Here is a 20,226-nt window from a genome sequence, read left to right as displayed (position 1 = left end):
GCTGAAGAGATGCAAAAGATAGGTTTAAAAAATTGAAATGTGGCACAGAGATATTGAAAATAGGAAAGAGTAGGTAAAAGATACAGGGAGAAATTGATGAGGTCCACCATATCCAGTACAGTACCAGAAGGAGAGGAGAGAGAAAGAAGTTGAATGCTCTGTCTTACAACTGAGGGATCTCGGTCAACTTTCTTAACCTTTCTAGGTTTCAGTTTCCTTCTCTGTAGGAAACTGAGGTTTAATAATAGTAACTATTCCAGAGAGAGTTGTTAGGAAATTTGTTAAGTTAATAATTGTGAAGCACTTAGGACAGTCCTGGCACATAGTAAATGTTGCAAGGTTTATTAAGTGAAGAAAAATATGAATGTTTACCGTAAGAGATTATCTACTTGAAATGGTCAGCTGCCATGAGAGGAAGGACTTGTTCACCACTCTTTTGCTAATTAACCGTCTGATTATTACCTCCCTGATATTTTAAAAGTCTCATGGTCTGCCAACAGAGCTAGCTGGGCACGTCCTCTTTGATCTTTAATACTGAACTAATTCATAAGAATCATACAACTTCTTAAGTTCCAAAAATATTAAAAAGTATCATTGCAAAACACCATTACTTGCAAAAGTTCTTATGTAAGCAAAATAAATGAATCTAGCAAATTTATTTTAAATCATAACACAAAAATCTCATTCTTTTGGTTAAGTGTTCCTAGTTGGCTAAAGAGTTTTTCATCAAGAATAAATGTTGAATCACATTATCACAAGCTTTTTTCTACATCTTTTGAGATAATTAAATATTATTTTTATTCTTTCATCTATTAGTGTAGAGAATTGCATTATCAGGCATTTTAATGTCAAATTGTGCTTGCATTCCTGGGATACACTCAATTTTGTCAAGATACTTCAAAAATTAATATTGGATTTAATTACCACTTTCTAGAAATTTTTGCATTTATGTTCTTAGCTGAGATCAGCCTTGTATTGTTCTTGTCTCATTTTAGGATAAAGGATAGTCTAACCTCAAAAAAAAAAAAAAAAGCAGACTAATATTTCTCTCTCACTCATCTTTGTAACAGTTCAAGTAAAAATAGCTTTATCATTTCTGTGAAGTCTATACAATTGTCTGGGTCTAATAAGTTTTTTAAAAATTATGGTAAAATGTGTATACATGAAATTTGCCATTTTACCCATTTTAAAGTGTATAATTTAATAGTTTTTAACACAGTTGCAATGTTGTGCAACTGTCACCACTATGCTTCCAAAACTTTTTCATCACTCCAAACAGAAACTCTACACCCATTAAATAACAACTCCCCATTCTCCCTTCCCTCATTACCCCTTGGTAAACTTTAATTTACTTTCTGTCTCTATACATTTGCCTATTCTAGATATTTCATGTAAGTGGATTATTACAATATTGTCCTTTTGTGTCTTGTTTAGTTTGCTTAGTATAATGTTTTCAAGGATCATCTGTGTTGTAGCATATGTCAGTATGTCATTCCTTTTTAAGGCTGAACAGCATTCCATTGTATATGTAGATCACATTTTGTTTATCCATTCATCTGCTGATGGACATTTGGGTTGTTTCCACCTTTTAGCTATTTTGAATAATACTGCAGTGAACATTTGCCTAAAAGTATTTGTTCAAGTATCTGTTTTCAATTCTTTTGGGTACATACCTAGAAGTGGAATTGCTGGATCGTATGGCAATTCTGTTTAAGTTTTGAGGAACTGCCAAATTATTTTCCACAGTGGCTGCACCTTTTACACTCCCAGTAGCCCTGTACAAGGGTTCCAATTTCTGCACATCCTTGCCAACACTTGTTATTTTTAGTTTTTTTTATTATTATTATTTTATTTGAGACTGAGCCTCGCTCTGTTGTCTGGGCTGGAGTGCAGCGGCACGATCTCGGCTCACTGCAACCTCTGCCTACCGGATTCAAGCTATTCCCCCGCCTCGGCCTCCTGAGTAGCTGGGATTACAGGCACCTGCCACCATGCCTGGTTAATTTTTTTTGTATTCTTCGTAGAGACAGAGTTTTGCCATCTTGGACAGGCTGGTCTTGAACTCCTGACCTCAGGTGATCCGCCTGCCTTTGGCCTCCCAAAGTACTGGCATTACACATGTGAGCCACTGCACCTGGCCATTTTTAGTTTTTTAAATTATGGCCATCATAGAAGGTATGAAGTGGTATCTCACTGTAGTTTTAATTTGCATTTCCCTGATGAGTAGTGATGTAGAGCATCATGCTCCATTGTACGTATTGGCCATTTGTATATCTTTTTTTGAGAACTGGTATATGGGTGTGGGTGGTTGTAACTAGAATTCTGACCACAGACTCAATTTCTTTACTCCCTACCAAAATATTTAGGTTTTACATTTCTTCTTATTTCAGTTTTAGTATATTATATGTTTTTAGGAAATTGTCCTTTTTCTTTTTAAAGTGATTGACATAAGGTATTTCAAAATATTCTTTATTATTTTAAAACTCTGATAGACTTTCGGTCATATTCCTTTGATTATTCCTAATAATAAACATCCTGTGCTCTATCTTGGTATGCCTTTATGGTGGCTTTATAAACAAAACCCCCAAGTTATTTGGCACCCCTTTTATCAAGAAGTGGGGTCTATCTTTTGTCTATTTGTAACTGAGTGGACTAGTAACTCTATTGACCAAGAGAGTATAGCAGAAGTGATGCTGGCTTCCTGGCTGAATCAGGAGGCTAAACCATAAAAGATGATGTGGTTTCTATGTTATTTGCCCAAACTTTTATACTTAGAGCCCTGACCCACCATGTGAGAAGTTTGACTACTTTGAGGCCACCATGCTATGAGGGAGCCAGGCCACATGGGAAGGCTACACATACACACTCTGTTGGAAGTCCTAGTCTGAGTTGTCCTAGCCAGGGCTCTAGACATGAGAGTGAACAAGCATTCAGATGATTCTAGCCCCAAGTTGTTTAGTTGCCTCCTCAGGTTCAAGTTCTCTCAGTGAAGACTCCAGACATTGTGGAGCACAGATAAATGAACTAGCTGTGCTCTGTTCAAATTCCTGTCTCCCAGAATCCATGTGCATTCTAAAATAATTATTTTAAACCACTACATTTTGGGGTCATTTGTTATGCAACAATAACAACTATAGGAGTTATACCTTTAAATAAATGAAAAAATATGAATGAATGAATGAATGAATGAAATACAGTCATGATTTTTTTACATGGAATTCTGAGGGACATACTTTTTACATGTTGCTGTAGTTTAAATGTTTTTTTCCACAATTCATGTTGAAGTTTAATTGCTATCGTAACAGTGTTGAGAGGTGGGACCTTTAAAAGGTGATTAGGTCATGGGGGCACCACCCTTATGAATGGATTAATGCTATCATTGAGGGAGTGTGTTAATGATCACAGGAGTAGTTTTCTGGTAATAAGGATGAGTTCTGCCCCCATCCTCTCTCTGCATCACAGTTTGCTCACCATGTGATCCTTTCAGTATGTTATGATGCAGCAAGAAGACCCTCACCAGATGCCACTTCTCAATCTTGGACTTCCCAGCCTCCAGAACTGTGAGCCAAATAAATATCTTTTCTTTATAAATTATACAGTCTGTGGTATTATTTTATAGCAGCAGAAAATGGATTAAAGGACATGTTGTCTTAGTTGGCTTGGGCTGCCATAACAAAATATCATCGACTGAGTGGCTTAAACAACAGACATTTATTTCCTGCAGTCCTAGATGCTGAAGTTTGAGAACAAAGAGTGACATTGTCAGGTTCTGGTGAAGGTTCCCTTCCTGGCTTGTAGATGGCCACCTTCTATCTGTGTCCTCACAGGCTAGAGATCAAGTGAGCCCTGCTCTCTTTCTCTTATAAGGACACTAATCCTATCATGGACGCCCCACCCTCATGATCTCGTCTGAACCTAATCACCTTCCCAAGACCCCACCTCCAAATGCCATCACATTACGGGGTAGGTCTTCAACATATGCATTTTGCAGGTAACACAAACATTCAGTATGTGACACATGTATACCTAAAAAAAAATAAGCAAATGCATTCAATGCCTTTGAGGATAATGCCACTAAAGTATGATGCATTTGAAGCCTCTTTGGGAGACTAGGATACTGTACAACACTAAAAATTATAGAGCCCGATATGAGACTACTATGCTATATTCTCTTTGGGGTAAAGCTGCAGTGGTGCATTATTTAGGTCAATAAATGGCTAAAATATGCCTTTCACACTTGTACATGTGAAACACAATCGTAGCTTTAGGTGAATGTGTCATTTTTACTGGTTCTTTGAATTTTATACTACTTTTGATTGTAGCTGATTCATTCTCTCTGAAAGAAAAATTTATCACAAGGGAAAACCTGACTAAAATAAGGTTCAAGTTGGACACTGAAGAATGACTTTTGAATCATAAATTTTATAAAACCATGCCTTTCAATTTGGATTTATCTTTTCCAGTTTACTGAATTACATACCTCTCTCCCTCAAACATAACTTGAACTCCAGCAAATTAGAACCTCTTGGGTTTATAGTAAATAGAGAGAAACACTTATTGACTCAGATACATTGACTGTGTAGCCCATTTTTATTTTATAGATACTAAAGCATTTAATTTTCTTCCTCTAGTGCTATGATTTTCAATCTGTTTTGAATTGCACACTTTCTTCTTATTTGCTGCATTTCACAACATTCTCACTTTCTAAGAGAGCTGTTGGAGCTATAGAGAATAAAATGCTGTAAGACTCATTTTATTTAGAGAGTCATGTCATAATTTGAATTAACTAGAGATGCTCTTACATATCAGAGAAAACTGCTGCTCCAGTATAAGTAGTGAATTTTTGTTATTTTTGTTGAAAAGGATATTTTTCTATAATTTTTATATTCTTTTCTCTCCAGCTACTTCCCTTAAATGCATCTCACTGGCAGGACCTGCTTCACCAGCTTAGTGTACAAATATCATCAGAACTCTTTCATTTTCTGTGTAGTTGCTTGAAAATATTCTTGCCCTTTTTAGCAGGGCATGTAATGTCTCCGTCTTGAAGCTTCATTGCTCTCTAGAATTGCTCATAAATCTTGAGGGGCTCACTTGATTCAAAGGGTAACCCTTTGTGCAAATGCCAATGGAGAGAGAAGTAGCTAGTCAATTACTGCTGGAAATGGTTCCCAAGAAGTCTAAGCAATTTTGCTCTCAGCTACATTGATGTTTCTGTTAGTCATACCAGCTGCCTCACATTAGAGATTCCAGGTTTACCCTCTTTCAGGTTATACTAGTGCTTTTCAACCAATTTTGACCCTCTTGGACATTTGGCAAAGTTTGGGGATATTTTTGGTTGTCACAACTTGGTGGGGGGAAGGGAGTGCTACTGGCATCTCATGGGTAGAAGCCAGGAATACTGCTAAACATCCTACATTGCATAGAACTGTCCCCGCACTGCCATTCCAACATAAAAAAATTATCTGTCCACGTATGTCAAGGATGCTGAGGTTGAGAAACCCTGTTTTTTCCAATATGATTTACACCCATATGATCTGCTACTGCTTCCAGAATTTAGCAGGTTTTAAGACCTCAATCCCAGGTTACATTTAAACCAGGAATGGACCCTCCTGGAGCCCAACATCCTCTGAGTTCTAGTTTGAACCATAGTCACCAATCCACAGCCCACAAACTCCCTTTCCTCATGTTGCATTCCCCTCCATAGAGGCAAGTATCCTTTTTGGCTGATCAATCTCAGTTTTAACCAACCAAGTTTATCACTGAGTTTTTAATGCTATTGAAATTCAGCAGAAAAGAAATTAGTATCAAAATTTCTTTTTCCTCTAGGAGGTTTCTTGGCTCCCTTTGCAGATTTATTCAATGTATGTCAAAGAGCACAAGGGGCATTTTGAAAATTGGGGAGCATCAGTCATGCCACAGAAAATGATGTTATATTCCCATTTTCCAGGGCAGTGGGTGTCCACTTGCCTTACATTTGCATAATCAAGATGAGTTGCTCACAGGACTCTCCATTTGAAACAAGATCTTACCCAAGGAGACTTACTGAGCTTACTAGAGAGAGGATTAGCTGATAATACCCTCCTGATTAAAAAGTAGGTTTTGCTTTCCTACACAGCCTGATCCATCTTTCATTTTTTCATGCCCTGTGATGCCACAAATTGTACTGTATTTCCTTCCAATGCAGCAATTGCTAAAGATACTTGGGAAAAAGGCAGTTTGCTAGACTCAATATAAGAATGACCTCTCTGCTATTCCAGCTCAAGAATTTTCAACTCTTTGCTGTTTGTAGCCACAGCTCCTGGTACAGACAACTTTGCTTTACCCTCTGATGCAGAAGCTTGGGGACCTGTAGGGGTTTGGGTGCTTATATTGGTACAGAGCATAGATTGGTAAAAAAAAAAAAAAAAAAAAAAAAAGTACCCAGGAGCATCTATACTTGTTTCCTGAATTCTGCTAAATTGAGAAGCTATGTTTCCAACATCCTTAGATGGACTAGGGTATAAATAGAATTTTCATGGACTTGCCTCTGATCTCAGTCACTGTTGATGTTTTTGGAAATGCATGGCAGATTCCAAAGAACTGACTAGCAAACAGATTTCTAGAGTAAAATCCATCCATAAATTGGTAGCTGCTTGTGTTCTCACTATTTGAGAGATGGAATTTGGAGCAGAGGACAAAGGGTTGCCTGCTACTATGCATCATTCTGCTCTCTGGGGCTTGGACTCTGAGGGGCTTTGCCATACTAGAGGATTTTCCTGTCAGGGAAATATGGACACTGCCATGTACTGTCCAACTAGGGCCAAACAGAAAAACAGTAGCACTGCAAGGACCCAGCCAACTTCATGACGGTGGACTAGATTTTGTGGATCACAAGTGCCATCATATCTAGTTGCCAGCTTTTAGTAATTCTCTGTGTTATAATTTTCGCCTCTTATCTCTGACACATCTGTAAAATCTTATAATTGTTCCCTTAGAGACTCATCTATGCTGTGGGGGAATTACAGAAAGAATTTATATCCATGCTCGAGATGAGAGGGTAAAGTAAAGAAGAGTAATTTCAGTAGCAAGAATGATGGTATCAGTGGAGATTGCTAAAATTCTCAAAAGGCAAGTAAATTTTAGGAACAATGATTGGGGATCAGTGTTGAGCGTAAGTTTGCCCCTTCCTATATGGAGATTTTCTCTCCTCACTGCCAGCCTGGGTTATTTTTCCAAGGGATCCTGAGAATCACTCACGCTTTCTCCATGATACTAATGTATGCTTGAGACCTTCAAGACTCCCTCCTAATTCAAGTCTCTGCTAACACCAGAAAAGGATCCATCATCATTAACAAGCCTGCCTTCTTTCTTTATCCTTCTAGTGCTTACCACTAGCATAGCTGTTGACACATCATTTTGTCTTTCCTGCTGGGTTTCCATTGCTCAGGGAAGCTCCTGGTGCATAGCAGACACTCAGTAAATATGTTGAGTGATTGAAGGAACAAACCAACACACAAAGCAAAGCCTTCACTGAGTCCTTATATAAGGAGAAGAACTTATGACTGAGAATCTAAAAAACATATGACTGAGATCTAAAAAACACAAACTGATGACTGAGAGTCTAAAAAACACAACCTACTTTCGAATCAGCTGTGTGGATTCAAAGAGCCAGAAATGCTGCATCTGTTAAATTTGGAAAGTCGTCACTAGTAGGAGGGGGTTCCATGGGCCAGTGAAGAGGTCTTTTAGGAGTAGTAGCATTTAGTGTGAAACTGAACTGCTGGCCTCAAATCTTAAATCTGCCATTTGCTAGTTGGGTAGCAAGACAGGTAGCTTTTGGTTTTAGTTGGTGTTTAATTTCAAATTAAAATTTATCTTTCCATCAATTTATTCATCCATCTGACATTTATTTAGTGCCTGCCACATGGCAGATGTGGTGCAAAGTACTAGAGATTCAAAGATGATTAAGAAAAAATCCTCACCCTCTAGCTGTTTACCATCCAGTGAGGTTGAAACCTCTTGATATGGTTTGGTTGTGTCCCCACCCAAATTTAATCTTGAATTGTAGCTCCTATAATTCTCATGTGTTGTGGGAGGGACCCAGTGGGAGATAATTGAATTATGGGAGTGGTTTCCCCCATACTGTTCTTGTGGTAGTGAATAAGTCTCACGAGATCTGATGGTTTTATAAGGGGAGACCCCCTTCACTTGGATCTCATTCTCTCTTTTGTCTACTGCCATGTAAGATGTGCCTTTTGCCTTCTGCCATGATTGTTAGGCCTCCCCAGTCAGGTAGAACTGTGAGTCCATTAAACCTTTTTTTCTTTATAAATTACCTAGTCTTGGGTATGTCTTTATCAGCAGCGTGAAAACGGACCTCTAGTCACACTTATCCCATCAAGCTTTGCAGGAAACCACAGAGGGATTATCTGATAACGAAATGTCATTTTTACTCTAATTGTTTATGAATTACAGTGTATATGACTAAGTAGCTTTAATAAATGTATACTAGGCAATGGGAGGAGATCCACATGGAAGACAGAAGACCTTGACTCTAGTCCCATCTTAGCGACCACTGACAAGGCCCTCATCGTTTATGGATCTCTGTTTCCTCTTCTGGAATATGAGGTGGGCAGAGAAAGTTGATTTCTAAAGTTTCTCCTAGCCCGCACTTGGATTTTACATAATCTCTGGAAATGGTCTCTAATAGAGTAGTTATTGTTGCTGGCCACTAGAGGTCAGTACCTTAAAAAGTAAACTGGATTCTCCTGCCATCAAAGTATGCCTTGAAGCAAAAGCAAAATTACTGTTTTCTTATCTTGGTTAGGAAGAAACATTCCCAAAGAAACAGTTTTCTCCTTGACATATTAGAGCTTGTAAGATGACATTTCCAAACTCTGGCTGAGCATTCACTGCAGAGTTCACTAACAATCTTAGTGTGAGAGATGAAGGAGCAGAAGGTCTGGCCCTAGCTAGTGAAGAACGTATGGTTTCTGCACAGACCTGAATGCATTGATAGCTGTGTAACAGGAGGAAAGAGGAACTGAAAATGACTCTTCTGTAGAGCAAGCCCCTCACTGTATCCAGTGGTGCACTTGCCCCTATCTGGTCACTGAGAATTAAAAGGTAAATATGTTTTTAGATCAGCTCTTTTCTCATAGATGTGGTAGGGAAGGCACAATTTTTGTTCCTTTCCCTGAGTTCCTGCTGCTCTGAAAGATAGGAACTTCCACTCTCTTAATAATTAGTGGCTTACCTCTCCATGGCTCCTTCTGGTGGAGGGAGGAGGAGGGATTTCTCTGATTGGTGAGATGGCAAGAGTCTGGTACCCCCTGGGCTCTGTGTTGGGAGTGGGCTGTGTGTAAAAAGTCACTTGCACATGTGGCCTCTCTTGGGTTCTATGAGCTTGATTTGAGGGGAGGGAGACCTCTGTTCTCTTTGAGGCTGAATGGAAAAGTTTCTGTTGTGGGATGCTAATCAGGTCTAGACCTGGAGGCAACTACTGGGAAGTTTGTTTCAACCTCATATCCAAGTTGCTCTCTCTGATTTGGTGCTACCAGTAGGAAGACAAGTATTTTGGTACATATGTGGCTTCTGTGTGCATTTCTCAATTGGCTTGGCACCCTCAGGGGTGAGGAGTGGGATTAAATGGAAGCCCTTCTCAAATCCTATCAGTGGAGGTGGATTAATATAGTCCCCTCACAATTCTAATGACTGCAGGCTTGCTTGTGATGTTGTTGGTGTAGGGTTTAGGTAAGAGTGGGGCTCAGGGTTGTCCTTGGGGATACAGGACCAGGGAAAGGAGACAGATACAGCCCTCAACAACTTATGCAGCTGAAACCAAACTGAAATGAATATAAGGGGCAAATAGTAGAAAAAAATCATTAAAATTCAACTTGAGGAGTGTGTAGGAGAGAGATGTTTTGTTCTGCTTTGCCTAAGTCATGGTAGTTGTGCAAAAAGTGTTGGTCTTAAAACTCAGGCTTCTTTTGGTACAAGGTGGTTCTGTGTCCCCCAGCTGCTCCCCTTTACCCTCTCCCATCCCGTTACCTCTTTATTCACAAGAGAAGAAAAACAAATAGAAAAGATCTCCAACAATTGTCCAAATAATTCATTCATTTATATAGACATTTCTTCATTCATTCATTCATTCATTCATTCATTCATCCTACCAATATTTACTGAGCTTTGATTATGCACCAGGCAGTTTCAGGTACAGGGAACTAAGCAGACAATACCCCCTTCTCTTGTGGGGCCAACATTTATTTGAGGGTTGACCAAGTACGGTGGCAGATGAAGTCATTGCCTCTTCCATATCCCTTGCATTAACCAATTCAGGGTGCTTTGATAGATTTTTAACTGTCTTATCTCCATCTCTGTGCCTGAAGCCTTTTTTCAGAACCCTGCAAAGTCACTTTACCTGAGCACCAAAGGCACTCTCAAAGTGCTGGAAAAATATTGATCCTGAGAGCGGTCCTCAGCCAATGACTCTTGGGAGTTGGTCTTTAAACACTCCGGCTTCCTCCCTTTTTGGGTGAGCTGATTCGGTGTGTGTTATCCTGTTCTCCTGGGCAGCTCCTTGGGATGAGCTTCAATCAACCACAATGGCAGTTAGCTTACAGACACAGTTATTGTTGCTCTGTTGCTTCCTCACTACCCTATTGGTGTTTCCTGCAACTCCCAAATAACCACTTATACTCAAGTCCTTGTCTCAGAGTCTGCTTTTGGGGGAAATCTGCTAAAATTGTCATTTTTTACATATATTACCACATTTTGTTCTTGCAAAGACCCTGTGAAATTATGAACTGAACATCGCAGTGCCTACCTGATGACACACTTTTGGAAAAAAAACAAAACAAAACTGCCTACATCTCGTGCTGATGGGCTTTGAGCAGGCAACTGTGCTTTATACCAGTATTCACAGTCCTAGCTGATGGGACCGAAGGAGGGTGTGGATCAGCTGCAGCCAATCCCCAGGCTGGCTCTTTGATAAACAGGGGCCTGCCAAACATGAGATCCTCACTCTGGGGATTTGAACTGAGACATGAAGAAAGAGTCAGCAGGGATTGAGCAATTGGAGCTAAAGCAAAGAACATGTCATGAACTAGAGCTGGGCTGGGAGATGCCAGCAGAGATTGAAATGATGAGAAATCAGAATCCATGCTGTAGAAAAGGCAGATAACAGGGTGAGGAAACCTGTGAGTGGTATGAGAAGCCCATGGATGCAAAAGAAGCAGAGACGTGAAGCAGAGTGGAGTCAAGTTCTTCACTGAGGGCCAGTGTCAGGATCTACCCTGGCCTCCACCAAGGCCCTGGAGGGCTGTTGGAGCCACTCAGCTGGAAGTAATGGCCTATAAGGCCTGGTCCAAGCAGAACTCCAGCACCCATTACTCCTGCTCTGATTTTGTAAAATAGCGATTTCAGAAGGCAGTTGCCAAGTTTTGCTTTTAATTGGGAGTGCAAAACTAGGTATAGCCTTGCCTATTGAATTAGAATACAAGAGTTTCCAAACTTTCGTTAGAACTGGAAGGGTAACCAAAGGCTCCTTTAATTCAGGGAAGGCAAGTTGATTTCATCTCAAGGGTACATGCTTGTTGATGGATGGACCTGGAGACTTTGTTGAGAATTCTGAGGCTGCCCTGGGGCACAGTGGGAAGAAATGCTTCTATCTATTACCAATGTCTGCCATGAGTTTGGAGAAAGACAGCACTTACTTTCCACCACCAATCCAGTGTGGAATCAGAGGCTTAAAGGATTTAGGTGATTTGTCTAAAAGTCACACAAAGCTGATTATTGGAATTCCTGGGGCTAGATCTTGTCTTCTGACTTTCCACCCAAAAGATTCTCTAATGGCTTTCTCATCCAGCTAACTTTGGCCCTTTAAAACTGTTTTAGGAAGCTAAGAATCCCTTCTCAAAAGAACAATTACTTCTTGTTATATGAGAAATTATATGCACGGCCTTCCAAAAAGTTAGTTGGACTCATATTTATGTTTTTGTAGGTGAATTTTTGTTCATAATTTAGAGTTGCCAAATTTAGCAAAAAGGAATACAGGACACCCAGTTAAATATTTGAGACAGTTTTCTACTAAATGATTGTTATGTGAAATTTATATTTGAATCTTCTGAATTTTATCTGGCAACCCTAAAAGGGAATCAGGTGGGCAACTCCTTGTGTGGACACACCTTGATATATTGATGGATATATGGCTTCTGGGCCCTGACCATCTCACATACTAACCTTCTAGTTATTATTTGTCAATATTCTGACCAACTGGGACATCTCAGGAGGCTGTGCTTTAATTTTAGTTCTACATGTAGTAAGACCTGGATGTTTTCTGTAGAAAATCCTTGCAACTCTCTTTGTTGTTCTGGAGTAATAATAATAGTAAGACCTGAGTGTTTTCTGTTTCAGTAACAATGGGGATGCTCAGTGGTGCCAAATTTATCTGAAACTGTGGTTGGAATAGATCACTGAGACTTTGTTTTTTCTTGTTTATTTCCACCAAGGCAGCATCTCACAATCTTGTAAAAGATAGTACTTTTGTAATGAAAGAGCATCTATGCAACCCCTTAGAGTTTATGATTTTTCTCCTTTTAGTGCTAGCAGATCATTTTTTGGAACCCTAACTATATTGGGCAAGTCTTTACTTCGGTAAGTTCTGCCACCTCCATGATGGCACTGGAGTGAAGCCATGAATTCAGTCTTCTTCATATAGCTGCTCATAAATGCCTTTGCCATCTGACAAATGCATTGGTTCTGAATGACTTCATACTGTTGTAATCCATTGGGTTCATAGTTCTGGACTAAGAAAAACTCAATAAAATGATGTAAACTCAAGACTAATTTCCCTCCCTGTTCTAGTTAGGAAGAAACAATTTAAAAACATATAAACTAGTATTACTTGGTGGTAATCTTGCTTTAAAAAATCCTCTGGAATAGACATCCAGGTACGCCACCAGGAAACTTTAAGAATGATATCGTGTTTTACACTTCAACTCCTAAGAGTTTTATTTCTCTCTCCTTAGACATTTTCTCTGCAATTTTTGGAAACAAAATAATATGCAACTAGCCTAAGAGCATACATAAAATATTTTATGTAAAATGAGTACAATGTTTATTGTAAAAATTAAAAATAAAGGTCAAAAGAGTAGAGATTTAAAATTCCCCATTAATATTTTAATTTAGACTTTTTCTATGCATATGGGCAAACAGACTTTAAAAATGAAATGAGTACTGAAAATATTCCTCAGTCATCTACTTTGTTTAGTTAATATTTTGTGAATATCTTATGGTGCCAATACATTTCCATCCTCTTTTTTTTAAAGACAGGGTTTCCCTATGTTGCCCAGACTGGCCTCAACTCCTGAGCTCAAGCAGTCCTCCCCAGCAGCTGGAACTACAGGTGCAAGCTCTTGTGCCTGGTGGGGCATCCTCATCATTTTTTATGACTCTGTTTCATTGGATGAGTGTATCACAGCTCATTTCACCCATGTTGAGGCTATTTCTCAATTTTCCATATTGCAAGCTTTGCTGCAGGGCTCTTTCTGCAATTAAACCTTTGCACACATTATTAATTATTTTCTTGGAGTAAATTCTTAGAAATAGGAGACTTGGTGATTTTTGTATCTTAGAAAACATTTTAAAAAATCCTGGCTATAGTAAAAGAGAATTTGGATGAGGGCACAGTTTCTTGCTCTTCCTGTACACCTTCCAGGATGGAGTCTCTTTAACTTGGGATTCTCACAAGGGAAGAGATATCATACCTGAAATGAGGAGCAGCTATGGGGTCATTTCTGTAAATAAAGGTCAGTTGGAAAAAGTAGATTTGGGGGGCTGTGTAGACTCTCTCACCATGACAAGACTGTACAGATATGGTTCACAAGTGGTTCTCAATTTTGACCCCCCAGGAGACATTTGGCAATGATGGGAGATATTGTTGCTTGTGATGACTCACGTGGTTGGGTGGAGATGCTACTAGCATCTAGTGGGCAGAGGCCAGGGATGCTGCTAATGTCCTATGATGCACAGGACAGCCCTTAAAAAAAGAAGGATCTGGCTCAAAGTGCAAGATTCCTACCAAATTTAGGAAACAGTGATGCAGAGCAGAAATAAAAAGGGATCAATGAGTCTCTTGAAAACCATGGTACAGCACTGCAAATTTTATGTTTTCTTTTCTTTCAAAAGAGTCTTCAGTTACCCAATATATTTGGCATGTCTCAGGCTGATCTACAAACCACATTAGGGAACACACAAGGCCTGTGGAATGTGTGGTCCTACTTGCTCCTGGCTTCTGTTAGGATTAATCTTGACAAGAATGTGTAGTGTGTATAGAGGAATTTAGACTGCCTGGATTTTTCTAAGCATGATAGTACAACGATGATGCTAAAAGATTGCCTAGGTTCCTTTTGTGGAACTAAACCAAATGCAGAGGGTCAGCATCAATCCTTTGGGGCCAGTCTCTGTTCCTTGGGCAGAGCAAAGTAGGTTGTTATATTTGGGACTCCTTAGAGTTTGCCGAGCTGCATGTTCTGGCCGCACTGAATATTTTGATCATGAGTAAGCCAGTCATGATTGTGACAGGCTTAGCTCCCAGCTAAGGTCAGAGGAAAATGATGTTTGCTAGGATCAAAGGAAGATAATTGTGGATATTGCATTTCCTCCATAATGCAATGATCTTGCTGTGAAAACATGTCTTAAAGAAGAGGCCTTGAGAGGCAGGGGAGTGCATGTGTGTGTGCTCATGACAGGGCATGGGCATTGGAGGTGGATGGGCAGAGCTAGAATATCCCACATTTATTAAGGCTTGTCATGGGCAAATTGCTCAATTGCTCTGAGCCTCAGTACTGTTACCTCTAAAGGGGTAAGAAGAGTATTTAACTCATGATGAGCTGGAAAGCTACTAGGTTAGAATCTTGAACTCCTAAATCTCCACCAGCTGTTTGTTGCTGTTGCAAGTTTAGGAGAGGGACTTAGGAGGGACACTGTGGCAAAAACCCTCTGTTCATCAGTCCAAGGACTTCACTCCAAGATCCCATGCAATTTTTTTGTAAGTGGAGCTGGGCCACATCTGAGACTCAAGGGTTCCTTGTGCATAAATTACACAGCTCTGGAAAAATGTTCCTTCTGCTGTATGCATTCAAGGAACCAGTAAAAACAGGAAGCCAGTTTTATTGCATAAGCTGTGTGGAGTTTTAGAGAGACTAGAGAAGGAAGAGATCTGGGAGGGGAGCCCTGTGCTGGTTGATTTCCGTTGCTCCTACCCTCTCTCCTGGCTCCCATCCATCTTCTATCCCTGTCTGTTCTGAGTTTTGCCCAAGAAGTTCATCTCTGTGCACTGCATCACCAAGACTATCTGGGCACCTGGAGTCATGGGCTTTGACCAGTGAGGGGTATAAATAGGAGACTGAAAGGTAGAAGAGGGTGGTCAGGGGATTCACAGTCCTGGCTTCTTCCCTACTTCTGGCAGTGGCTGAGCTCTTCTGCAGGTGTAGTTCCTGTAGGCTGGTCCCTCTGCCAAGTCTCCAGTTCTTCACTGCACTTTGCAACCACCACTGCCTCTCCTCCTTTTCAGGATTTGGGATGGTGAAGCATTCCTGCTGTTGCTAGTCCTTGGATACTTCAGCATCCCTGCATGGTTCTTTTCACCCCACCTGCACCTTTAATACAGTTCTTTCATTTGACCTTCCATAGTGAAATCCTTTTGAAAGTGTTATGCTGCCTTCTGCCTGAACACTGATAGGCACATCCTGGAGAGAGAAGAACCCCTAGAGAACTTGGTATGTGGCCTTGAGAGTCTTTGAACTTCTCCATTCTGATGCTGAAGCGGCATCCCAGAACTTGGGAAGCTTCCATCCCAACGTCCATACAAATGCTACTTTTCTTTCTTTTCTTTTCTTTTCTTTTCTTTTCTTTTCTTTTCTTTTCTTTTCTTTTCTTTTCTTTTCTGTGTGTGGGTGTTTTTTTTTTTTTTTTTTTTTTAAGAGAGGAAGAAGGTGAGAGTGGTACTGAATTCTCTCTAGAGGTTAGAAGAATGCGCCACTGACAGGGGCTTTTCCTGAGGATAAAATAAAGTACCATGCTGAAAGGATCCAGTATGGTGCCATTTACTAGGCACACAGTAAATGGTAACTGCTGGTATCATGAGACACTGACTGGTGATCTCTCAAGGAAACAAGAAGGAAAACATGAGGTCAGCAATGTAGTTAACAACTGAGAGTAGCTTTTTAATCTCTCCTTTCAGGGCTGTCATTATGTGTTGGCTGAGGAATGAATTGGATTTACGGGCTCCTTTTTTTTTTTTTTTTAAATGCTTTTATTTTAGGTTGGGGGATACATGTAAAGGTTTGTTACATAGGTAACCTCGTGTCACGGGGGTCTGTTGTACAGATTATTTCATCACCTATGTATTAAGCCCAGTACCCAATAATTATCTTTTCTGATCCTCTCCCTCCTCTCACCTTCCACCCTCAAGTAGACCCCAGTGTCTGTTCTTCCCTTTTTTGTGTTCATGAGTTCTCATCATTTAGCTCCCACTTATAAGTGAGAATGTGTGGTATTTGGTTTTCTGTTCCATGTTAGTTTGCTGAGGATAATAGCTTCTGGCTCCATCCATGTTCCTGCAAAATACATGATCTTATTCTTTTTTATAACTGCATAGTATTCCACAGTGTATATGTACCATGGATTCTGTCATTGATGGGCATTTAGATTGATTCCATTTCTTTGCTGTTGTGAATAGTGCTGCAATGAACATTTGCATGCATGTGTCTTTATGGTAGAATAATTTATATTCCCCTGGGTATATACCCAGTAATGGGATTGCTGGGTTGAATGGTAGTTTTATTTTTAGCTCTTTGGGGAATTGCTGTACTGCTTTCCATAGTGGTTGAACTAATTTACACTCCCATCAACAGTGTGTAAGTGTTCTCTTTTCTATGCAACCTCAAACTGGCTCTTTTTGATACCATAGAGACTTATCTCCAAGGATGCTCTTCCTCTTCTTTTTATCATTATCTAAAATAGTTGCATATGTTATTGCCTATTCTAGGGTATTGATGTCAAAAATCAGAGAGTTTGAGGGGAAGAAGAAGTATTTCAGTTGGAAATAATTTATTCTTTCATTAAAAGTGGCCATTGGAGATCAGCATTATGACAGCCTGTAGGATGAGATCATCACAGATGCCAGGCTTTTACAGTATGAAATATTTAGCCAATTCTGACCAAATATTATCAAAAATTAGATTATTTCAGGGAAAAATCATTCTAGCAACACGTTTATTTTGCATCATGCAGACAAAATAAATGTGGTTTTGATTTTATATGAAAACAGCTTAGGAAATCTCTAGTTAATTTTGTCTGCCAATTAATTAATCTCTCTTTTTCTTGACCTGAAATCTTCATTTTCCTTTGGGAAATAATTTCTTCCTCCTCCTACCACCTCTGTCCATGTGATTTAGATGAGATGGATTTTTCTTTGAGCTCTAGTGCTGGGTTGTGATGTAAGCCTGGTCAATGGCAACATCACATTTCCTTGGCCAATTGTTGGTTGAGGGATAGGCTCATGATTCAAGTAGAACCATTCAGAATCAAAAGGCTGTCATTTCCAGGTATTTCATGGGAATTATTGAGAAAGATAATTTTCTTCCCCCTGCTCGGACTGCAAAATGCAAACCTGAGTTGCTGGTGGCCATCTTTGCAATAAATAAAGGCAATACCCTTCCTGAAAGTGAAGCCAGCAATGTGGGGAGCTGCTCTGTAGGAGGGAGAGAGATAAGACCCTGGTGACATTGTTTGGGTACCCAGGTCTGGCTCTGGGATTTTTGTTATTTCAGTGAGTTTCCTTTTACTTGAACCATGTTGAATTGGAGTCTGGCAGTTATAATCTAAATAATATTGATTAATGTACAAGATGATAATAGGATTTTCCTGTTGTGACACCTCCCCCATTTGACTCTGACCACATGTGTAGATTGTGACTGAAAAGAACTTGTCACTAATTAATTCATCATAATTTTATTGAGCACATACTATAGCAGTCATCATGTAGAGTCCTGGGATATAAAAATCAATAGGGCAAACAAACTCTCCATCAGATAGACAAATGTAAAAAATATATGAGCAATGTGCCAGCACGGTGGTTAAGAGAGTGGGCTTTGGCGCTTCACTGCCTAGGGCTACTGTGCCACTTACTATTTGCTTCACATATTTCATAACCTCTCTGCCTCTCAGTTTATCCATCTGTAAAATGAGGTGAATAATTGTTGTGAGGACTGTCTTAATCCATTTGAGCTACTATAATAAAATACCAAAAACTGCATAGATTATGAACAACAGAAATTTATTTTACAGTTTTGGAGGCTGGAAAGTAAGATCAAGGTGCCAGCAGATTTGATGCCTGGCGAGGGCCTGCTTCCCCATTCATAGATGGCCATCTTCTCACTGTGTCTTCATGTGTTGAAAGGAGGTCTTTGGGGCCTTTTATAAAAAATAAGGGCATAAGTCCCATTTATGAGGGTAGGTCTTTCATGACTTAATTACTTCCCAAAGGCCCCACTTTCTAACACCATCCCACTGGTGATTAGGTTTCAACATATGACTTTTGAGGCTACACAAACATGCAGACCGTAGCAAGGACCAAGTGAGCTGATACATGTAAACCACTCAAAAAGTGCCCAGTAAGTGTTTGCTATTGCTACCATGACTATGCACTGGTTCCCAGATGGCAAGGAACACACACGTGGTCATCTGTAATTCTCCTTAGGCACAGGGGAAGGGAAAGATTAGAGAAAAGAAAGTAACTTTTGAGCTGAACCTGAAAAGGTGAGGCACCCTAGGGCAAAGTACCCTAGAATTGCAGTTATCTGCATATTCTTGGATAATAGTTACACGTGGGTGACTTTTGAAGATGTGACTGTAAAAGTTTGCAGAAGCTACATCCTCAAGGGCTCAATGCACCATGCTAAACGATGCTTTTATGAGTATTAGGTAGGATAACATCTTTTCCAAGTGATCAAATAATCAAAGGGCTTAAGTAAAAACAGCATTTAACAGTTTCCATAATTGAAAAGTCCAAGGGAACAGCTGGCTATAGATATGTCTAGATTGGGGTTCAAATGATGACTCCAAGACCCATTTTCTCTCTTTGTCTCTCTGCTTCATCTGTGCATGGGTCTATTCTTGCATGGTATTATGCTCTGTGGTGGTAATGTGGCTGGTGGAGGTTCACAGGCTTAAGTCCAACAGAAAAGAAGGAGATTCTCTTCTATAGATGTCCCAGCAAAGTTTCATTGACTCTCATAGAGTCACCTGAATCAATTATTTTGGTGAGTGGGATGCTATACTCTGATGAGTTAGGCTAGAGATTTACATACTGGAAGTGTCAGTTCCACTGAGAAGCTCATAGACTTAGCACGTAAAGGAAGATAGTCCTTCAGAAGGAATTTAGGTATGGATACCAGAAAACAATATGAAATACACACCTGATGGCAAAACTTATAGAAGTTCAAAACACCTTTTATAGCGGAGGGATTGGGAGGGTCATTGCTGTTTTTTAAGCCGGGAAATGGCATGCACATTTTCATTTTAAAAGGATATACTCAATCTAGTGTGGAGGATGGATTGGAGGGTTGTGGTTGGAGGCAAAGGGCCAGTTACAACGTTTTTCACTGATTAAGGGAAGTGATGATGAATGTATGAATGACACCTTTTGCACCGGGAATGGAAAGGTGCAATGAATCAGATATGTGCATTTAGTGGCTGGAACCATAAGAATTTTATGCTGGGCAAAATTCAGTAGGGAAGGGAGGAAAGACATTTAGTTTGCACCTTACGGTTTTGACTTTGGTACAGGGTGGGTAGAGATGCTATTTACTGAAAGTGGAGCTACAGAGAGAGAGAGAGACAAAGAGAGAAACCTAATGATGTGGTTTGGATGTTTTTGTCCCTTCCAAATTTCATGTTGATCTATGACTCCCAATGTTGGAGGTGGGCCTAGTGGGAGGAATTTTGGTCATGGGGGTGGATCCCTCATGAATGGCTTGGTGCTGTCCTCATGCTAATGAGTTCATGTGAGATCAGGTTGCTTAAAAGAGTGTGACACCTCCCCCCCACTCTCTTGATCCCTCTCTCACCATGTGATAGGATGGTGGTGCCCTCTTCATCTTCCACCATGATTGGAAGCTTCCTGAGGCTGCACCAGAAGCAGATGCTGGCACCATGCTGCTTGTATGGCCTGCAGAACTGTGA

The 20,226-nt window shown here is 40.0% G+C and overlaps 1 long non-coding RNA gene across 1 annotated transcript; it reads right to left on the bottom strand.

Annotated features, from left to right (window-relative positions):
- LOC107986185 (uncharacterized) lies at nucleotides 17,979-20,146 on the bottom strand. Its single transcript, XR_001741392.1, has 2 exons — nucleotides 20,112-20,146; nucleotides 17,979-18,456 (listed from the first exon to the last, which is right to left on the bottom strand). It is a non-coding gene; the product is annotated as an uncharacterized LOC107986185 (long non-coding RNA).
- Nucleotides 20,147-20,226: the final 80 nt, after the last annotated feature.

This window comes from Homo sapiens, chromosome 4 (genome assembly GCF_000001405.40).
Source record: "Homo sapiens chromosome 4, GRCh38.p14 Primary Assembly".
NCBI lineage: Eukaryota > Metazoa > Chordata > Mammalia > Primates > Hominidae > Homo > Homo sapiens.
This window is presented reverse-complemented; position numbering and strand designations above follow the sequence as displayed.